Source organism: Homo sapiens, chromosome 15, assembly GCF_000001405.40.
Source record: "Homo sapiens chromosome 15, GRCh38.p14 Primary Assembly".
Lineage (NCBI taxonomy): Eukaryota > Metazoa > Chordata > Mammalia > Primates > Hominidae > Homo > Homo sapiens.
Window position 1 is genome coordinate 66,704,080 of NC_000015.10, and position 19,930 is coordinate 66,724,009.

Genomic DNA, 19,930 nt, shown 5'->3' on the forward strand with positions numbered 1-19,930 from the left:
GCGCGCTGCGCCGGCCGGGGGGGCCCCGGGTCCCCGTCCCCATCCCCTTCCGTGCCCTTCTCTCTGTGACACTGCGGGTCGGCGCAGCTGCGGGTGCTCCCCCGGGTGCCCTTGGAGCGTGGGAGCCACCAGGGGAGGCGCCTCAGACCGGCCGAGGGGAGTGGGTGTCCCAGCACACACATCAAGTGGCAACTTTATCTCAAGGCTCCGGTAAACTTAAAAGGGTACATGTCGTAGTTTTCTCTGTGCAGTTTCAGGGACATGATGTAGGCTCCAACTTCATAGGCAGTGAAAGGGGAGGGCAGGCCAAGGAGAGACCAAAGAAGTAGGTGCTATTTCCTCCTACCTCAATTCCGGAATCTACCCCAGTCTGTGCCCAGGCTTCTAGCATTTGTATGCACGTGCCCTTACCCACACTGTGCTTTTCTATGTCCAAGTAGCTGTAAGTTGTGAAATTGGGTGTACACAAATCATAGCTAGAATCAAAAGTGTTCGTCAAATGTCCAATTTGTGCCTTTGCATACTTTCGACAAAGCTTTGCAGGGTAACCCCTCTCTGGAGTAAAGAGCACCCTCTTTATTCCCCACATAATATCATTCCCCACATCCCTTGGGTGTCAAGTGCCAGGGTCTTCCATAGTCCTTCTCAAGTTTTGTGTTCAGCTTTTGTATAGAGTTTAGGGTCTTGGAGGCATCCGTGAGTAGATGAAGAAGCCAGATACTGGATTACCTCTGAGAACTGCCCCCCTTCTTTGTTCTCCTCTTGGGATTTCCTGCACACGCCCCACCCTCAGCCTTGCTTACCTGGCCAGGCCCTGGTGCTCAGGTGCAGACAGGCAGAGGCCCCAGCAGGTCAGGAGGCTCCAGCAGGCCAGGAGCTTGCAGCTGCCTTGCTCTGACCTCTGTCTTGTGGGGAACACACACTTTAGCCTGTAGCTAGCCTCTGAGGGATGTATGGGAATCCATTAGCTGGCACTGGGGTTTTGCAGGGGTGGGACTGGCAGGGAGTCACAGGCTCTTGAGCCTGGGAGGGCTCTGAATCCCTCCATTCTGGCTTCCCTGGGGAGAGTCAGCACCCAGGCTGGGAGCACAGAGAGGGTCAGGTTGTAGGTCTCCTGACTCTGTGTGGAAGGGGAAAGTGGGTCTAGGATGGTGCATTTGTCCTAGGTGTTTTGTTTGAGTGTGGAGTAGTGTCTGGAGAGGAAAGGAAGTTTCCCCTCAGTGATGATTCCTGCATAGAGGGCATTGATGGGGGCAGGTGGGGAGGGGAAGTGTTGATGAGGCACCCTACTCCCCTCATGGTCACTCCAGTCCCAATTTAGGAGCTATGAGCAGCCCCTGATCTGTGGCTCATGCCAGGCTTTCTATGTACTCTTTTCCCCTTACTGACAGCTTTCCCTGGAAGTGACTTTCTCCCCTCTGCCAACTGACTCCCCACTGCCTCTGGGGAAGGAGACCAGTATTTATGGTTGTCTTGTTCCTGGTGATTTTTTTTTTTTTAAAGTAGGTCCCTTCCACTCTCGTAGAAGCCCCTGGCAGGTGTATTCTCTTTCGCCACTTCAGTGTGCAGCAGATGTTTGTTGAGCAATTACTTTGGGCCAGGCACTGTGCTGGGTGCTGTGGCTAACAGAGTGGAAATATGAGTAGGATCTATGCCCTCAAGAAACATAATCCCACCAGGGATTTATGGGGGAGAGATGGGGGAAGAAGGGAAGTGTGCAGGGCCAGGTCATTGGGTGTGAACTACCAGAAGGCTGTGGGTGTGTATGTAATAGGATGGCATGCAGGAGCTCCACAGCTCCAACCTGGAGCCGGACCTTGGAGGATGGGTCAGAGGAGAGGGAGCCAGCCGGGTCAGAGGAGAGGGAGCCAGCCAGCTCAGAGTCAAGGTGCCAGGCACGTTCAGGTGGTTGGGCAGGGAGGGGAGGAGTGAAAAAGTTGGAGACGATGGACAGGACCACTCCTGCTACTACTCCTGGGACTAGGAGTTGGCTTGGGTGTTGGTTTGCATTTGGTAGGTTTGGAGAGGTACAGGTCAAGAGATACCTGGCAAGCTGCAGTAGAACAGTTCTTGACCATGGACCTGGTCCCAGGCTCTGCCCAGCTAGTAACGTGCAGCTTGACTTTGGATGAGTTACCTCCCTTCTCAGCCACCGTGCTGGTCAGTGGGGGTGGCTCTAGGAATATTCTCCCCATCTAAATCTGGACTAAGCCTTGGGACTTGATTCCCCTCCTTCTCCCAGAAGGAGGCGCTGTTGCCAGGGCTGCAGCACCCCAAGTCTCCTCCCTTTTCTTTGCTAGCTGCTAGCCTGTGGGGCCCCCATTCAGCCACCCTGGGGACAGCTGGGAGGACCGATGGTCCGGGAAGAGTTTCCAGTATGTGCCAGGTTGATCCTCTTGCCCCTGGCCTGAGAGCTGGGGGAGCCCTGGGCTGCCCACCCGCCTCCACCGCTTGGCCGCCAGCTTGGCTCCCGTAACTGGGCGGGCGCATAGCTGGGGCTCAGCGGTGCGCGTCCTGATAAGGAGACTGCGCCTTCCAGGGCTCTGGGAAGAGGGCCGGGGCACCGGGCAGACAGATGCGCGCACACACATAGCGCAGGCACACCGCTAGCGAGCAAAGTACACTGGAACACCGGCACTGAGGGACTCCCACCTGGCAGCAGTCACCTCCGCACCTTCACCGACCACTGCAGGGAGCCCCGGTGACAGAAGACCCCTTCCTGGGCAGTGTGGACCCCTGCTGTTCAGAGCCCACTCTCCATCAACTTGAGTTGTGGCCTTGGGGCTAGTTTCCTCTTTGGGCTTCTTTTCCTATATCTAAAGTAAAGGGTTGGAGGGAATCTGCACAATCTGAGGGCTGATGTGCAGATTCCAGGCCACACAGGCCTCCGTCCCCTCCCCCACTCTGCCCCAGGCTTGTCTCGGAAACTGGGGTCCTCAGGAGGGGACCCACCTCTTCTGGGCATGGGCTAGGGGCCTCCTGGCCTCCCAGCCCGTGGGAGTCAGGCCCAACTCTGCCTCCCCCTTGGGTGTCTTTCTGTCCCAGGAAAAGCCAGTTCGCTGAGCTCGGTGGGTGCCTATGTGGACGGAAATGTGGAGAAATACTTTAATCACAGCTCTAACCTGTGTTTATAGAGCTCCTTTCTCCTGAAAGTATCCATTAACTTCGGAATAAATCTCCTGCTCTTTGCTTCCCCACTTTTTTTTTTTCTGTAATTATATTCAGTAAATTACTATTATCCAAATTGCGCCCGGGGAAGAGAGACAGAGCGAGAGAGAGAGAACTTCTAAACGACTGGAGGAGGCCGCCTAGGAAAACACAGGGTTCCCAGGCCAGGACTATAGGAATTAGAATGGGCTAGAAAGTTTTCCTTTTATTTGGCCTGGCATTATCCCTTTGAAATGAGATCAATTTCAAGTTGGGCTTCCAAGCCCCCGCCCTGCCCGGCTCAGCGGCCCCTAGCCCTGCTTGTCTGCTCCTCCTAGCTCCTCCTGGAGGTGAGGAAGGGGTGATAATGTGCAGTTTGCCTCTTGCTGGCGCCAGCCGGCCGCGCTGTTTATCTGGCTGCCAGGGGAATCTGGGCAATTAGGCTCAGGCGGCCTTAAAGTGCCAGGAGCTCCTTTTCTGCGTCTCCCATCATGGGGCTTAGGGTTGAGTCTTCAGGTTCTGGGGGCAGGAAGGACGGGCACTCAGGAGGCCCCCTCCCCATCCACAGCCCCTCTTTGGGAGGGGGGAAACTTGGCAACCCGGGAGGCATGTGGATCTTTTCCTAAGCAAGATGCTGAGCTGGAAAGATGGGGGTGTAAGGTAATGTCCCAAACTGAAACTTTGCCAGGCACTGGGAGAGGCTGTGAACTCTTTTCTGGCTTTAGAATTTAGGTCTAGATCCCAAAAGGCTAAGTACCCCCTGGGGGCTAACCAGAGGCATGCCTGGGCTGAGCTGAACCTTCTGGTGCACTGGCCCCTGGCTGACTGCTCTTCTGCAGGAAGTTGGAGGAGATTCCTGAAGTTGATTCCTCAGGCTGGATGTCCAAGGGGGTTGGAGTTTCTGATGTCTTTCTGTCTCCCTCTCTTTTCTTTCTCTCCCTACCAGGTCCACTTCTTTCAGAGGGGCCTGCGGTGCTCTAAAAGTTCTCCTGTTAAAGTTTAGAGCAAATTGGTTATTATTTTAAAATCAATAAAACTTTTAAAAGTACTAAGACAACTTCTAAGAGGGGAGTGGACAGAGGGCCTGGTGGCAGCTCACAGTTTCTTTTCTGACCTTTGGTCTCACCCACCAAGTGTCCCACCTGAGTGCCCACCTTGCCCACCTGAGGTAATGCCCTGGGGCTCCACCAGTCCAGATCCACAGGGCGCAGCCATGTGGGAGTGGCGGCTGATTGTTACCCAGTAGTGTTGATAGCACATTATTCATAACAGCCAAAGAGAGGAAGCAACCCAAATGTCCATTAGCTGATAAATGGATAAATGAAATATGGTACGTCCGAAGAATGGAATATCATTCACCCATGAAAAAGAACGAAGTCCAGCACCAAAACGTGCTACAACATGGATGAACTTCGATGACTTTGTGCCACATGAAAGAAGAAGCCAGCCACAAAAGGCCATATATTGTATGAAATGAAATGTCCAGAATGGGCAAACCCATAGAGACACAAAGTAAGTTAGTGGTTGCCCAGGGTTTTGGGGTTGGGGTCTAGAAAGTGACTGCCAATGGGGATGGTGTTTCTTTTTGCGATAAAAAAAATGTCTTGTGTTTAGATGGTGGTTGATGGTTGCACAACACTGTGAATATACTCAAAAACCACTGAATGGTATATTTTTAAAAAGGATGAATCTTAGGGTATGTGAATTATATCTCAATTTTTGGAAAGGGTCACCTGATATTGGTCTGTAACTGGCCTCCCCTGTAACACCTGCAGCTACCTTCATGTGTGGCCTTGGGCAGGTCCTTCAGCAAGTGGGACCTTAGTTTCATATCAGTGAAAAGAAGGAATTGAGTTGGGTGAACCCCAAGGCCTCTTCTGTCTTTGACACTCTAAATCCTTGTGTTGTGGGGTGGAGTCTAAAGCCTTCATACTTTTTTAGTTGCCTACAATGGAATTTAGTGATTAGCTTTCAGTCCCTGCAGTTGTTAAACAGTTGTGTGCATACTATTTTGCCAGAGCTAATGGGAGCCTGGTGAGGTCCCTCCTGAACGGTTTGTAGTGCTCCACTAGCTGGCATGTCTCATGGTTCAGGTTCATAGATTTTCTTTCTATCTCACAACATTGGAACTCCCAACTCAGCTATGGCCATGGGTAGCAGGTGTCACAACTCAAGGCCCAGGTAGCTCTTCCAGGTGGGACTTCATGAGCCTTTCCTGCCTTCCACCTTTTGAGTCCCAGGTAAGCAGCCCCTGGAAGAGATGCTGGCATTGGTTACAGAGGCTTGACTCCAGCCACTACTGCCCATAGTTGTCAAGATTCACCTTTGGGGACAAATCTTGGGGGCAGATGTTCAGAGCTCCATGCCATGTGTGGCCTAGACCTCAGCCAGTCAGATTTTTGCAAAAGTAACCCTAAGGAATTGCAGGCTTTCTGATAAGTTCATGGGGGTGGTGGAAAGGGCATGGAGGTCAGAGACCTGGCTTTGGTTCTGGCTCGATACCTAGCTCCTGAGGGAGTCACTTCCACTCACCAGGCCACAGTCTCCTTCTCTGTACAGTGGAAACACTGGCCTCAATTCTCTTTTCCTGTGGAACTCCAGCCCTTCCTATGCCCTGCCTCTTATCCTGAGAGGCTGGTCCTCACTCAAGGCTGGCCTCTAGGCCTGAGAGCCCCCTAGATCCTCTTTCTGCACATCTTTGGCCACAGATGCATTCAACTTTACCATTATCCTCATCCCAGTTGTCTGTGTCCACATTTAGTGAGCGCGTTCTGTGCAGGTGGTGTCCCAGACCCAGCGGGGATGAAGGGGTGTAAGACAGGGCATCTCTTGATTCCACCTTATTGGGTGGCAGAGCAGAGTCAGGCCTGGACTGGAATCCCAGCTCCACCATGACTGGCTCGGGGAACATGCGCAAGTCAGTTTTCTCATCTGTAAAATGGGGATAATAATGTCATCTCATTTAATTTTTGTATTTTGAGAAAGGATTAAATAAAAATAGGTGCCTGATGAGCATAATTAACTACTCTGTACCTGAGGTCTAAAATAGTAAAATTGAAAGTGATTGGCATGGAGTGAGACACAACGTAGACACCGAGCAAATGTTCGCGTCTCTCTCAGTGGCTACTCTGTGATTCACTTTTCCTTCTCCCTAATTTCTGTCCACAGAAAGTCTCTGTTTCTAAACCTCAGAGCTTTGACTTTGTTGGAAGTAACTTTGAGCTGGAAAAGCCGGGGTGGGGAAGAGGTGAGGCCTCATTGGGTGTATGGAGCAAAACAAATGCTCCTGTAACTAATTGTGGCTTATTACAATTGTGAAAAACACTTATTACCCCTTGTGTCATTACTGATACCCGCTTAATAATAGTTATTACCACTGAGAGTTTGTTTTAGTTTGCGATTTGATTGTGTTTAGTTTCATTTACCGAAAATGAAGGGTCATTTCATTCATGCAAATTGTTACTTAGTTTAGCAAATTGTTACTTCCCATAAAGCAAGAAGCTAAGGAATTCTTCTGAAAGCAAAGTATATGTTTTTAAGGAGAAGTATTTTAGGCAAATGAAACCCAAAGAAAAATATCATAGACAATAAGGAATCATAGCATCTGAGCTGTAGAGAGCTTGTGTTCCACCCCTGTCCTTTACAAAAGGGGAGACTGAGGCCAACAGCTGGAAGTGACTGGCTTAAGGCCTATTGAGATAGCTGGGTTTGGCCTTTTGGGTCCTAACCCTTTCTACTGTCCTCCCCTGCACCTAGGAATGCTAGCTCTAATGCAGCTTGTTTGGACACGAGTTTCTGTGTCTGGGCCTTTGCACTCACACTAGGCTTGCCAAATTTAGCAAATAAAATGCAGGATGCCCAGTTAAATTCGAGTATCAGATAAACAACACACCATATTTTAGTATAAGTACACCCCCAATATTGAAAGGGACACACTTATACTACAAAATGATGCCATGTTTATCCAAAACTCAAATGTAACTGAGCATCCGGTATTTTATCCAGCAACCCTGGCTCTGACTTTCCCTGCACTCACGTTTCTCTTGTTAAAGTAGTAACAGTTACTGTTTATGGAGGTGTTTTTGGACAGGGCCAAGAGCTGCACTAAGCATTTTACATACATTATCCCAGCAAACCTGGGAGGTCTAGATGATTATTATCCTCATTTTAGAGCTGAGGAAACAGGCTCAGAGAGGTGAAGTAAGTTGCTTGAGGTCACACAGCCAAAGGTGGCAGAGCTGGGATTGAGCCCATATCTGTCTGTGCCCCAAGCCTGCGGCTTTAACTGTTGAGGGGATTTGGGCAGCAGAGGAGGTGGGACAAAGGGAGGGCTTCCTGGAGGCTGAGTTTATTATTTGGGAAACCAGTAATTAAAAGCATGTAGAACCTGAGGTGTGAGCTCCCCAACCCTGGCAGTGACATGCTGTCTCCTGTCTTCCAGAATCTCCGCCACCTCCCTACTCTCGGCTGTCTCCTCGCGACGAGTACAAGCCACTGGGTAAGTGTGCCCTCCTTCCTACCCTTGCAGAGGTGTGTCCCGAACTGGGTCCTCTTCAGCCCAGTGTCTGTCCAGCCTCAGGGCTGGAGGGCTGGAGGGCTGGAGGGGAGGGGTGAAAGCCGGACTGGTTGCTGTGAAATGGGGTGAAGTTGTACAAACACTCCCACAGTTGGGCCAAAGCAGACCCAGCTTCTGCAGCAGGCTATTTACATCTCGAAATTCCGCGGCTCATCATTAACCTCTCTGTGACCTTTTTAAACATGGGCCTGTCGAAGATGAATGGGTTTTGACTTATGCATCTCACCGGAGGTGGGTTGGCATTTCTGTGTCTCTTTCCTCTCTCTTGGGCCCCCCAGCCTTGGGTTATTCTCCTTTAGAGTGTATTAATTAGTAGTATGACAAATAGGTTGGGCATGAAGTCTTTGTTGAGAGGAGCTGTACATTTTCCCCCTTTTTAAGCCAAGATGTTCACTTGAGCAGAAACAACAATTGGAGTGTTAAAAAGGAATGTATATTGGTACACAAAGCCCCTGGCATGGACTGTCCCCTAGGTGAGCTTAGTGGAGTTGGTAATTTTAGACAACTCCCATTCAGAGGCAGAACATGTTTTCTGTAAAACCTTGAGCCTAGATGATCAGCCCATATTCTGGGGTAGATGTAAGTGGTTTCAAAAGTAGAGATTGTTGGCTCACGCCTGTAATCCCAGCACTTTGGGAGGCCAAGGAGGACAGATCACTTGAGGTTAGGAGGTTGAGATCAGCCTAGCCAACATGGTGAAACCCTGTCTCTACTAAAAATACAAAAATTAGCCGGGTGTTGTGGTACACATGCTCCCGAGTAGCTATAATTCCAGCTACTCAGGAGGCTGAGGCAGGAGAATTGCTTGAACCTGGGAGGTTGCAGTGAGCTGAGGTCACGCCACTGCACTCCAGCCTGGGCGACAGAGTGAGTGAAATTCTGTCTCAAAAAAAAAAAAAAAAAAAAAAAGAGTAGAGGTTGTGGTTGGGAACGATGGCTCATGCCTATAATCCCAGCATTTTAGGAGGCTAAGGTGGGAGGATTGCTTGAAGCCAGAAGTTCCAGACCAGCCTGGGCAACATAGCAAGACCCCATCTCTATAAAAAATATGAAAATTAGCTGGGTGTGGTGGCTCAGGCCTGTAATCCTAGCTACTTAGGAGGCTGAGGTGGGAGGATCCCTTAAGCCCAGGAGTTAGAGGCTGCAGTGAGGTATGATTGTGCCACTACACTCCAGTCTGGGGGACAGAACAAGACCCCATCTCTAAAACAAAATAAAAGTGGAGATTGCTTGGATCTCTGTTTCCTCTAGTGGGGTTTCAGAGCATGGGTTCTAAGGCAGAGAAGTGATGGAATCTGTGGGATCCTGATTGTGGCACAAGTTAGTTTGGCCCTGACAGTACCAGGAGAGCAACTTTGTGACCCAAGCAGTTCCCGTGGGACTCAAGCTTTAAAAGTCAGATGGCGTGGCAACGATGCTGCAACATTCCACCAAGTGACCACAAAAAGTGGGTTTTGTTTGGTTTTTGGTAAAGGCCTCCTCCCAGTAGTGTGTGTCAGCATCATCTGGGAGGTCACTTCTTTTTTTCTTTGTTTGAGATGGAGTCTCGCTCTGTCACCCAGGCTGGAGTGCAGTGGCGTGAATTCGGCCCACTGCAACCTCCGCATCCCGGGTTCAAGCGATTCTTCTGCCTCAGCCTCCCAAGTAGCTGGGACTGCAGGCACGCGCCACCACGCCTGGCTAATTTTTGTATTTTTAGTAGAGATGGAGTTTTACCATATTGGCCAGGCTGGTCTCGATCTCCTGACCTTGTGATCTGCCCTCCTTGGCCTCCCAAAGTGCTGGGATTACAGGCGTGAGCCACTGCGCCTGGCTGGGCAAGTCACTTCTTAGTGTCGTAGACACTCAGGCATATCCACCCCAGTTTTCTTTCCAGACCCCTCTCCTGCTGTGAAGTCAGAAGTGCCCACCAGGTCCCTTCAGGAGTGTGACCTTCTCAGGCTGGGTGGGCAGAGGCTGTTCCACGAGGGTGTGGGAGTCAGCCACCAAACCATGGTGGCCACCCTATTGTTGTTCCAGAAGTAGGATTGTCCCATGAATGGGGGAGCCTTAGTTCTCTCGGAAACTGGAGAGATCATGTGGTGGAAGCTTGTCACTTAAGAGATGAAGAATCAAACTGAGTGAGGGCGAGGAGCTTCCCAGCTAATGAGCTGCAGGGTTGAGGTACAAACTCAGAGCAGCCCCCACTCAGGTGGGTGGCTCACTGTCCTTCCCTCGGAGGCCTGTCTCAGCATTTCCTAAGTCAGCATAATTGCACTAGTTGCTTGTAGGACCCCTAGTTCCATTAGAGAAAAAAACCCTCAAAAGTTCTTAGTGAAAGTTCTTAGCACCTCAGTTTGAATGTCAAGGATCATCGCCCTGAGGTTTTGTCAGTTAGCCTGTGATAAAGCAGCAAAAATCAGGACACTGCCCAGCCCTGCAGAGTGACCATGTGGAAACCAACAGTTGTCCCCATGGTTTTACAAATGAGATGACTGAGGCCCAGAAAGAGGAAGTGACACTTGCCGGTGGTCAAATAGCTCAGCCCACCACCTGTTTTTATATGGTTTGCAAGCTACGAATGGCCTTTATTTTTGAAGTGGTTAAAAAAAAAATCCAAAGAAGCATAATATTTTGTGACACCTGAAAATTACGTGAAATTCAGATTTTGGTGTCCGGAAGTGGAGTTTTACTTGGAACACAGCCAGGCTTGTCCATTTCCATTTTGTCCATGGCTGAGGCAGAGTTGAGTAGTTGCAGCAGAGGCCGTATAGTTCACAAAGCTGAAAATATTAACCTCTGGCCCTTTATAGAAAAAGCTGGTGAGCCCTGATGTTGCTTGACTCATAGTGGAGGCGGGACCTGAACCTGGAGCTCCAACTTGCAGATGGAGTTCTTCCTCCTTGAGGCTTGAGCAGTGATGGAGGCTGGGAACATTCTTTTGCACAGCAGCCATTGAGACACTGTCCAGGGCCTCACTAGAAACACTAGATGTGAGGGTTTGGCAAGGGCGTGATAGGGACTTACTAGCTGTGAAAGGTGGAAACCGCTTGTCGTTTCCACTCTTCTGGAAACCTCACAATGCTGTCTGTGTTGGCTGTAAGGCAGTTCACTAAGAAATAGGACTCGGCTTGTGATGTTGCTACTTCAGATGAGAAGTGGCAGCAGGGCTCTGGGCACTGAGCACTTTGGGAACATTAGGTATTAAAAGCAAAACCCTTTTAAGAACTTCCCACTTGAGCACTGAGCTTTTTTTTTTTTTTTTTTTAAAGATTTTTCTGTGTGTACTTATTTTTCTCCTAACATATTTTTCCAGCAGATAACTTTTTCATTCCCTGATAAATAGTCCCGCGTTATTTTTTGGTATTATTTTCTCTTCCTTGCATTGTTGCTTTTTCATAAACAAAAAGCCAGTTCACTTCTAAGCCTCTGTGATCACATGAGACCAAAAAACAAAATAAAACCTAGAACACTCAGTCAGCATCTGGCAAGTGGAAAACGAGAGAGGAAAAAAAAAAAAAAGGCCAAATTGGTTAATGTTTTATCTTCCTGCTCCCCAAGCCATGTGGTAAAAGGATAAAAAGTTCCTGCAGGATCAAATGGAATTCTAGCTAGTGAGGGCCTGGGCAAACGGTTTTATCCCAGGAATCCTTTGCCTGGAGTAGCTGTGCTGGGCCGGCTGGGGCCAGGTGGAGCCACCCGAGCCAGTCCTGGATTGTGCCAGGTGAGAAGATGTGTGTGCTGCAGGCCTTCCAACTCCTGGACAGGCCTGTCCCTTAACGGGGACAACACCCATTGCTGGTAGCAGAGGCACAGGCCCAGGAAAAATTTTCCAAGTCGGCCTGTCCCAAAAGGCATCGGCTTGTCAAACTAGCAGCTCAGTGTTCTATAGAAAATGTGCAAAAGAATTTCTCTTTCTCATCTAACTGCTCGGCAGACAGAAGAAAACCAATAATGTACATATGAAGTACTTAAAACTACTTAAAAAAAAAAAAAAAAAGAACGCCTTAAAAAAAAACAGTCCAGGCATTAAAAGTTGCTCTTGTGAGCAGGTTTGGATGTTAGGGAGTGGGGGAGGGGAGAGAAAAAACAAAGTTAATCTGGGAGCAAATGCTTGAGCCCTTAATTAGAGGGGTGTAAGCGGGACAGAGTGAGGACGGCTGGTGACTTGTTAAAACAGTTTCCCCAGCCCTAGCGGGAGGGAGGAAGGAAGGAAGGAAGAAAGGAAGGAAGGAAGCAAGAAGGAACAACTTCAAGAATTTTAATGGTTGTAATTAAGTACAGCAACTATGAATTGTTTAGGGGCTTAATTTAACCTTACCCACGGAGGCTCCAAGTTGCTACTTGCTCGGTCCCCTGAACTTGGGTTATTTCTGTGGTCAGGGCAATGGCAGCGTTTTCAGGTACCAGCTTCACCACAGTCAGCACTTTCCAGAAGAGTTCCTGGGCTGGCTGGTCTGGTCTGGGGTGATCCTGAGATGGGGTTACAGGGTGACATCAGAAAGTTGGGAGGGACATGCTGCCCTTTGCAAGCACACACATCCACACACGTGCACATGTACAGAGATGCATGAGAAAGAAGAAAAAAGAGAGCGCTGCCCCACGGCCAACTAAGTTCTCTTTTTCTTTCCTCCCACAGATCTGTCCGATTCCACATTGTCTTACACTGAAACGGAGGCTACCAACTCCCTCATCACTGCTCCGGGTGAATTCTCAGGTCAGCATTTTTTCTTGTGCATTGCTGTTGTGTTGAAATTTATCGAAGGGGACAGCTGCGGAGGGGGCTTGGTGGAAGACTTTTTGACTTCCCCTCTTCTTTTTGTTTCCCTTTTCCTCCAATCCTTGGATGGGAAGGTTGCCAATGTTTCAGTCCCTGGTGTTTTTGGGGTTAAGAACAGTCTGTATGAGTGAAACCTGAAGATAACTTTTAAAGCACCTGTCTACCACGTTTTAACCAGTTGTCTCTCTCTTGTCTCACTTGGAAATGATAAAAGCTCAGCACAGCTCTCCCTTTCGTGTTTAGAAAGAGATCCTCTTCCCCCAGCTGCGAGAGGCAGCAAAGTGGATGTGGTATACATTTGTCTTCCTCCTGTCCTCACTCCAGGGGAGGGACCAATGTGAAGGGTCAGAAGATTGGGGGAATTGGAGCCGGTTGAATGAGCTTGCAGGGAGGATCTGGCAAGTGAGGAGTTTGGCAAAGCCAGTGGTTTCTGTGTCTCTCCCTGAGCAGCAGATGCTGGGATAGGAAGCCGAGGGAACCGTGGTTTGGAGTCCTCTGTCCCCTGCAGTTAGAAGCTGGTCATAGGGACCCCTACATCCGGAGGAATACCTGAATCAAACTTTCCTTGAGAAATGAGAGGTTGGTGTTGGACTGGGGACATCGAGGGCCAGGACCAAGGTCTGTGGGGCCCTTTGGGAGCATGGCTGGTGGCATGGTGGCCTGGTGGCATGCTGGCTGGGACTGACAGCCCCTCAGGCTGGGGCTGCATACCTTGTGGGCATGTCTGGATGGCTGTGTGTCTCCATCTGAGACATTCTTCCCTCACCCCACATCCATGCCATGGTAGCAGTCGCCAAAATCATAGCCATTTATTGAGTGTATGCTATGGCCGGCACTCCACTTGGCCGCTTTATATGCATTCTCTTGGGACAGCCATGGGCTGTTTGTCTCCAGGGTTTGTGCTCTTCATCACTGTTTTGTCCCCCACTTTTCTGCAAGGGCCAAATGTACCTTCAATAAATGTATTTCCCCTAAAGTCCTGTCGTTCTTGATGTAGTCTCTCTGCAACTCTAAGGATAATGCAGCACTGGCTGCTCATGGCTGCCTGGCCATTTCCCCAGCCCAGAGCCTTTGCCTATCCATTCCCTTCTCACCAAGGCATGGGAGCTTACAAGAGTATGACTGTTGCAGAGATGGGGAGGCTAGAAGCGGAAGCAGGAATGTGACTTGCCATACAGGGTCCCACAATGGGCAACCTGGTCCTGGGCTGCGGTGGTCCTGGGGTCCAGGTCTTCTGGGTCCTATTCCTGAGTGCCTTCTGGTCTTTGGTGGCTCCCTTCGTTAGGGTACTTCCTTCTCTAATAATTTATTTCCCTCAAAGGCCCAACCAGATGAACGCAAGTTAAAATTTCAATCCTTTCTTTTTTCCTCTGCACCTACATGAGTGAAAGCCACATATAATTTTGAAGCAAGGGGCTTAAAAGTATTTCTGAATTTGCGATTTTGTGTCACTGCCAGCCCTCAGATGGATTCCATTGGCGTTGGTTGTCTGGACAGATGGGTAATTTTTTGGCATCCTCTTTCTCCCTATTGTTAATGATGGAAAGTCCGTGTGTGTGTGTGTGTGTGTGTGTGTGTGTGTGTGTGTGTCTGTGCATGTGCATACCTTACAGTTTTAAGGTGTTTGCAGATGTAATCTCATTTGATCCCAGCCATTCCAGAGGGGGCCTGGTGTGGCTCAGGCTGAAAGGACCAGACCCCCAAGCACTGTCAGGAGGCCTCTCCCTCAATCCAGAGGCTGGGAAGTCTCAGGAGATCCCAAGGCCATTAGTTTTGTTGCCTTTGGGCCTCACTGGGCCTGTGTCTGAGATTTCCGACCGGATATCCCAGAGCAGTCTTTGGTACTGGGTGGTGAGAAGGTCCCTGCTACTCATGACTGTGCAAAAGGACTGTGTTGGAAAATGTGTCCAATGCTTTAGAATTCTAAGGAGCGGAAGGATTTGGGGAGGAAATTGGGGATTTCCTATGCCAAGGACATTGAGTGAGGTCTTGAAGGACTTTGGTGTGAGTTCTGGGTGGCCTCAGTAGGTGAATGGAGTGTTTCCCTTTGTGTCATCCTGGTCCCTTCCAGGGATGCCATGCGTGGAATGTTCCCCGCTGAGGGCCCACTGTTAGCTTTTCCAGCTTGCTCTGTGCTGTAGGGATCTGAGGTCCTGTGGGTTAAGCTGCCCGCCTGCCTACTGGGAGCCCAAAGACATGGGGCTGTGCTGGCTGTCACACTGGAGGACATATTCAGGGAGGGAAATGGCCTAGGGGGTGACAGGTCTTGGTGGATGGTGAAGGCACGAGTCATTCTGCAAGATGGAATGCAAGGTTGTGTGGGAGGGCAGGACTGGAGGTGAAGTCAGAAAGGTGAGGGGCAGAGGTGGGCACAATGTGTTGGGCCAGGCCGGGGCATTTGATGTCTAAGGACAAATAATGATGATGGTGCTGATGATGACAGCAGTTGACATTTATCGACACTCACTACATGTCAGGCACTTTGCTAAGCGCCAGCATTCTCCATTTCATTGACTCCTTACCACAACCCTGTGAGACAGGTGTGATTCTCCCCATTTCATAGAGGAGGAAACTGAGGCTCATTGCTGGGCCAACTGCCCATAATGTAAGTGGAAGGCTTGGAACATGAGCCTGGACAGTGTGACTGCCTAGCTCACACCCTGAGGGCCCTGCCCAGTGTTCTACAACAAGTATCCCTGTTCCCTTCCCCAAGCCAGACCCTGGCAGGAGCAAAGTAAAATGATCCAAAGGAGCCTGGTGGGCACCTGTCCTGATTTAAGTACCGGGGAAGGGGATGAGGGGCTAGCGAGGGTGCAGGGCGGCTCCGTGCCCTTCCAGGCCACTACTGGACAAACCTTGGGGACCACCCAGAGATCACACCACTCGCTGGCCTGGCCTTCCATCTCCCGGAGTTCTGGGGGTCTGCCGATCCCGAGAGCCTTGTTACCCTCAGTGTCCTGGGATGTACGTCATCCCCAAACAGGGTGTCTGCAGCCCCAGGATGGAGACTGCCCTAGTTTGTCTCGCACAATGACAATCCCAGCGCTGGGCCTGGGACTCTTATCTGTTTTATCCAGCTCCATGGTCTCTGCTTTACTTCCCTGTCCTGTTGTTGAGGCCACTTGGGGGAAGGATGGGCCTCTTGAGGCTTAGTCCCAGGCCCAGGCAGGCAAGGAGGCATGAGTGGGCAGGGCGAGGGGCCGCAGGAAAGGAGACGCAGTTGCTTCAGCTCTCTGCCGAGTAGTTGTTGGAAAACCTTCATTTGATCTCTACATCAGCTCCCAATTTGGATACGTGATTCCCACTAAACAGTGTAGAGGGGGCAAGTGGCTTCACCAAGGTCACTGGGGAGGGGGGTGGTGGAGGGAGGCTAGAATGCAGAGCTTTAAGCAGATCTGGAGACCTTACACCTGGAGTCTTTGATGGGATTTGGGAAGAATGGAAAGCCTAGAACTTTTGGGGTACCTTCAGAACTTTGGCACTCTGGTTTCCTCGCCTAATTCAGGGCGTGGGGTGCTGTCACCTGACTGTCCAAGGCCCCTGTCAGGCTGTCCTCTTCTCTGCTGTATTTCCTTTCCTCTTCCATTTGCTTGATTTCAGTTTAGTTTGGGGAGGAAAGGAAGAGAAGCTAGTTAAATAAATTCATACTAAGGTGTGAGTGGCTGGTAGGCAAACTTTTTTTTTTTTTTCAACTTTAAAGTAGAACATGCCATAATTCTCAGAATTGCAGGATGAAGAAATGGCAGTTCCGAGAAAGGCTGGTGGCAGAGGGCAGGGTTCTCTCAGCATCTCTGACTCCAGCCTAGAAAAACAATGAACATGTCATAAGGAGCTTTAAGCCCTGGGTGAGGGAAGGAGCCCTGGCCAGGCCGGGCTGGGTGAGCTCTGAGTCACTTAGCGGGAGCCTGAAGTGGCAGGGCTGCTTAAGCACCCGGGCCTGCCTGACTCCATGCTGTGGGGCTGGAGGCGGCACACTGGGCAAGCTTCTTTAGGACCAGTAGCTCCCCTCTGCTGTCTTATTCTAGTGCCTGTAAGATAACCATTCAAGTGCTTTATTAAGCATCCTGTCCCTCCATTTTCTCACTTGTAAAATGAGGATGATAATAACAACAAACATATCCTTAATGGTGAGGGTTAAATGAGATACTTTACCCCTGCCAGGGTCTAGCACGGGGAAGGGGATGGGGACGCTTGTTATGGAACACTGGGCAGGGCCCTCAGGGTGGGAGCTGGGCAGTCACTGTCCAGCTATGTGTAAGGCATGGTCTAAGCTGCCCATCACTGGGATCGCGCAGTCCTTGCTGGAACCTTGGCCCTCTGTGCCTGGTATCTCAGTCCTCACAGCATGTGGGTTTCTTTAGAGCTGTGTTAGTGAGAGCAGGCCCTTCAGTTTAGAAAGGAGGATGCCAGGGGAAGGAAGGGAGCAACAGTAGGCTACATGGAGAGTTGGGGGCTGAGCTGGATGTGGGTATCTTTCCTCCACCAACCAGACTGTAAGCTCCTTGAGGGCGCAGATCATTTTGTAGATTGTTGCATTGTGTAAGTTGGCAGAGTTTGGGAACAGAGGCTCAGGGAGGTTGGGAGACTGGCTCAGAGCCATACAGCAAGCAGAGCAGCGTGGACCCACCTAGGGTTGCAACCCAAGGTGGATCCACACTGCTTACCCACCTGCCACTCGGTAGCACCTGTGCCTGCCGTTTGCCCATTTCCGGGGTCCGTTGGGGTTGGTGCTGTCTGGTGTTATCGTCAGTGCCTACTGAAGCTGGGAGAGGAGTGTGTGTGTGTGGTGTCATTTCCTGCTGTTTTCTTGATTACAGGGACCAAGTGTGTTCTCGTCCAACAACACCCTCATCTAACAGACTCTGAGAGTTCCGTGTTCCAGGGTGTGTGGTTCAGTCCATTCAGTGTGTTCTGAGTCCCTGTAGCTGTGGTGGGCTGAAGAGCATGGGCTCTGCACCAGTGGGCCCTGCAATCAAGCCCTGAGTCGGCCATCTATTAGTTGTGTGACCTTGGGAGAGCCACTCAGCTGCTTTGTCCCTCAGTTTTCTCACTTGTAAAATGGGGTTGATAATAACAACATATCCCTAGTGGTGAGGGTTAAATGAGATGATGCCTGTGAGTCAGCCAAGGCCTGTCACACTGCATGTGGTGGGTGTGGCCATCACAGTGTTCCAGGCACTGTGCATAGGGCTAGGGGCACAGAGATAAAAGTTACATTGTTTCTGCCCTCAAGGTATTCACAGATAGGTAAAGACACAAACAATAACAAGAGGCGGTCCAGAGGAAGAAGGGATTAGTGATCAACTCTCAACTCTTGGCGTGGTAGGGAGGTAGCTGGGGAAGGCTTCCTGGAAGAGGCGATGTCTTTTAAAAAATGAATGGAAGTCAGAAAGACAGGATTTGGAGCATTCCAGGTATAGCAGATGCAAAGACCTGGAGGTGTGAAAAGAACTTGATGTTGAGAAACCAAAGGAGTTTCGAGGGACTGGGAAGCAAAGCTCCAGATGTTGGTGGGAGAAAAGATGGGCAGAGACCAGGACCTGGGAAAGATTTTTTTAAAAAACTTCTATCCAAACATGCCGAGTGGACATATAAGTGCCAGCTCCGTGAATTTTCACAGACTGATCACACCTGACCAATAGCAGGGCCTGCGGAAAGTTGCTATCACATGACGATGCTCAAGCCTGTCACGTGAGAGTGCTCATTGCCTGTGGGTCTGGGGTGCTGTATGCAGAGTGGTTTCAAAGGGAAAGCAGGAGGGCAGGGGATATGTTTTAGCTGAAAAGAACATTTCATTGAGTTTTGGAGAGCAGGAAGGGCATTTCATCTGGGTGAATGGTGCTCTGAAACAATCAGACTTGAACCTAGCCCGGTCCCTTTGGGTTTAAGAGGTGGCCCTCAGGCATGACCCATGCCCACTCTGCCTATCCCCAGGGGTCAGGCTCCAGCCTAGAGGCAGTGGACAGGTTGCCAGACTGATACCAATTGTGGCCAGCACCACCCTGCCATTTCCAACTCAGAAATGGGTGGGGGAGAAGGAGCATTCAGCTCCAGTTCCAAACGGATGGTATTTACTACTCACATCAATCCCTCGCCATGTGTCTTTTTAGCTTTGACCAACCAAAGGGAAAAGAAATGCCTTCCTTTCCTAACACCTCCTGAGTATCTTACAGAAGGACCCATTCTTCCTGGGCTGGGTAGAGGTGTGAGGGGGGGTCGGCAGGAGTGATGGGGGTGACTAGAGCAGTCCTGGGGGAACAGACAGCTGAAGGAGGGCCCAGCCAACCTGTGTCTGCCAAGAAGCAATGCGGGATGGTGGGCAGTGTGCCAGAGTGGTTTCTAGGCTCAGCTGTGCCCTTTTCCTGCCATGTGACCACAGGCAAATTCCTCACCTCTCTAGTCTCAGTTTGCTCAGCTGTATATTGGGTCCACTGGGTCACTGATCTCAGGGGCTCCTTGGTGCTAATGTGTTCCAGGCTGTAAGTACCAGCTCCCAGGCCTTGGGGTGGGGAGTAGTCAAAGAGCTAGGGCTTCTCTCCTGGGGCATCTTAGCTTCTCCCGTCGTTGGCCAAAAGCAAAACTGTGGCATGGAACAAAGTCATGAGGAGGGAGGGGATGGGTGTCTTGGACCTCCACCCCTCCATCCCAAGGCACTAAAGCTTGGGGGCTGCAGTGGGGATATACTTGCAAAGTCCAGAGAGGGCAACTGACTCATCAGAGGTAACAGAGCTTTTAGACTCCCCATGGCCTCAGACAAAGGACTTCAGGGCTATTGTGTTTCCTGAGTGTGGGCTTTTGAATGACAAGTCAATGTACTGAACATTTATTATTCAGAACTTACTGCAGCTGGGTGTGGTGGCTTGTGCCTGTAATCCCAGGCTGAGGCAGGAGGATTGCTTGAACCTGGGAGTTTGAGACCAGCCGGGGGCAACATAGCAAGACCCCTACCTCTTAAAAAAATTTAAAAATTGGCTGGCCATGGTGGCACACACCTGTAGTCCCAGCCACTGAGGTAGGAGGATCACTTGAGCTCAGGAGTTGGAGGCTATAGTGAGCTGTGATCGCACCACTGCACTCTGATCCAACCTGAGCAACAGAACAAGACCCTGTCTCTAAAAAAGTAAGAAACATAAAAATTAAAAACAAAGAAGAATTTATTATAAAAAGGGGGAAAAAAGAATCTACTACATGCCAGTGGCAGATGATAGAAAATGGAGAAAGACTGGACCTTCCCCTCTAGGAGCTGCTGGTCTAGAGGAGAGGCAGACAGCAAACAGACAGTGGTGACTGATCATGCTGAGTGCTGCCCTAGAGATGTGCTCAAAGCAGGGAACTCTGTTGGGGTGGGGATGGAGTATTCAGGGGGCATTCACCTTCACAGAGAAGGTGATTCTGAGTTGGGTTTTGTAGGATGACTAAGAGTTCACCAAGAGGACAACAGGCTATAG

At 50.2% G+C, this 19,930-nt stretch overlaps 1 protein-coding gene across 4 annotated transcripts in view, besides 3 other annotated features; it reads left to right on the forward strand.

Moving 5' to 3' along the window:
• Positions 1 to 19,930, forward strand: part of SMAD6 (SMAD family member 6) — an 80,614-nt gene that overhangs the window by 1,844 nt on the left and 58,840 nt on the right. The window contains exons 2-4 of one of the 4 annotated variants that reach the window (NR_027654.2): positions 7,589 to 7,645; positions 12,342 to 12,419; positions 12,930 to 13,061. Coding sequence is in view for 2 of the 4 variants with exons in the window: in XM_011521561.3 (XP_011519863.1) it covers positions 4,626 to 4,659; positions 7,589 to 7,645; positions 12,342 to 12,419 (169 nt within the window). In the remaining 2 variants the exon portion in view is untranslated. Of the gene's footprint in view, positions 1 to 12; positions 4,660 to 6,315; positions 6,395 to 7,588; positions 7,646 to 12,341; positions 12,420 to 12,929; positions 13,062 to 19,930 lie in introns of those variants that run through there. The other 3 variants (XR_931827.3, XM_011521561.3, NM_005585.5) reach the window with 3 other exon arrangements.
• Positions 2,548 to 3,067: an enhancer, noted in NCBI's record as "H3K27ac-H3K4me1 hESC enhancer chr15:66998965-66999484 (GRCh37/hg19 assembly coordinates)". NCBI's record gives its function as "activates a minimal SCP1, AML or CMV promoter by ChIP-STARR-seq in naive H9 embryonic stem cells {active_cell/tissue: H9 hESC(naive)}" and the evidence as "EXISTENCE:reporter gene assay evidence [ECO:0000049][PMID:30033119]".
• Positions 7,692 to 8,191: an enhancer, noted in NCBI's record as "H3K4me1 hESC enhancer chr15:67004109-67004608 (GRCh37/hg19 assembly coordinates)". NCBI's record gives its function as "activates a minimal SCP1, AML or CMV promoter by ChIP-STARR-seq in naive H9 embryonic stem cells {active_cell/tissue: H9 hESC(naive)}" and the evidence as "EXISTENCE:reporter gene assay evidence [ECO:0000049][PMID:30033119]".
• Positions 18,239 to 18,739: an enhancer, noted in NCBI's record as "H3K4me1 hESC enhancer chr15:67014656-67015156 (GRCh37/hg19 assembly coordinates)". NCBI's record gives its function as "activates a minimal SCP1, AML or CMV promoter by ChIP-STARR-seq in primed H9 embryonic stem cells {active_cell/tissue: H9 hESC(primed)}" and the evidence as "EXISTENCE:reporter gene assay evidence [ECO:0000049][PMID:30033119]".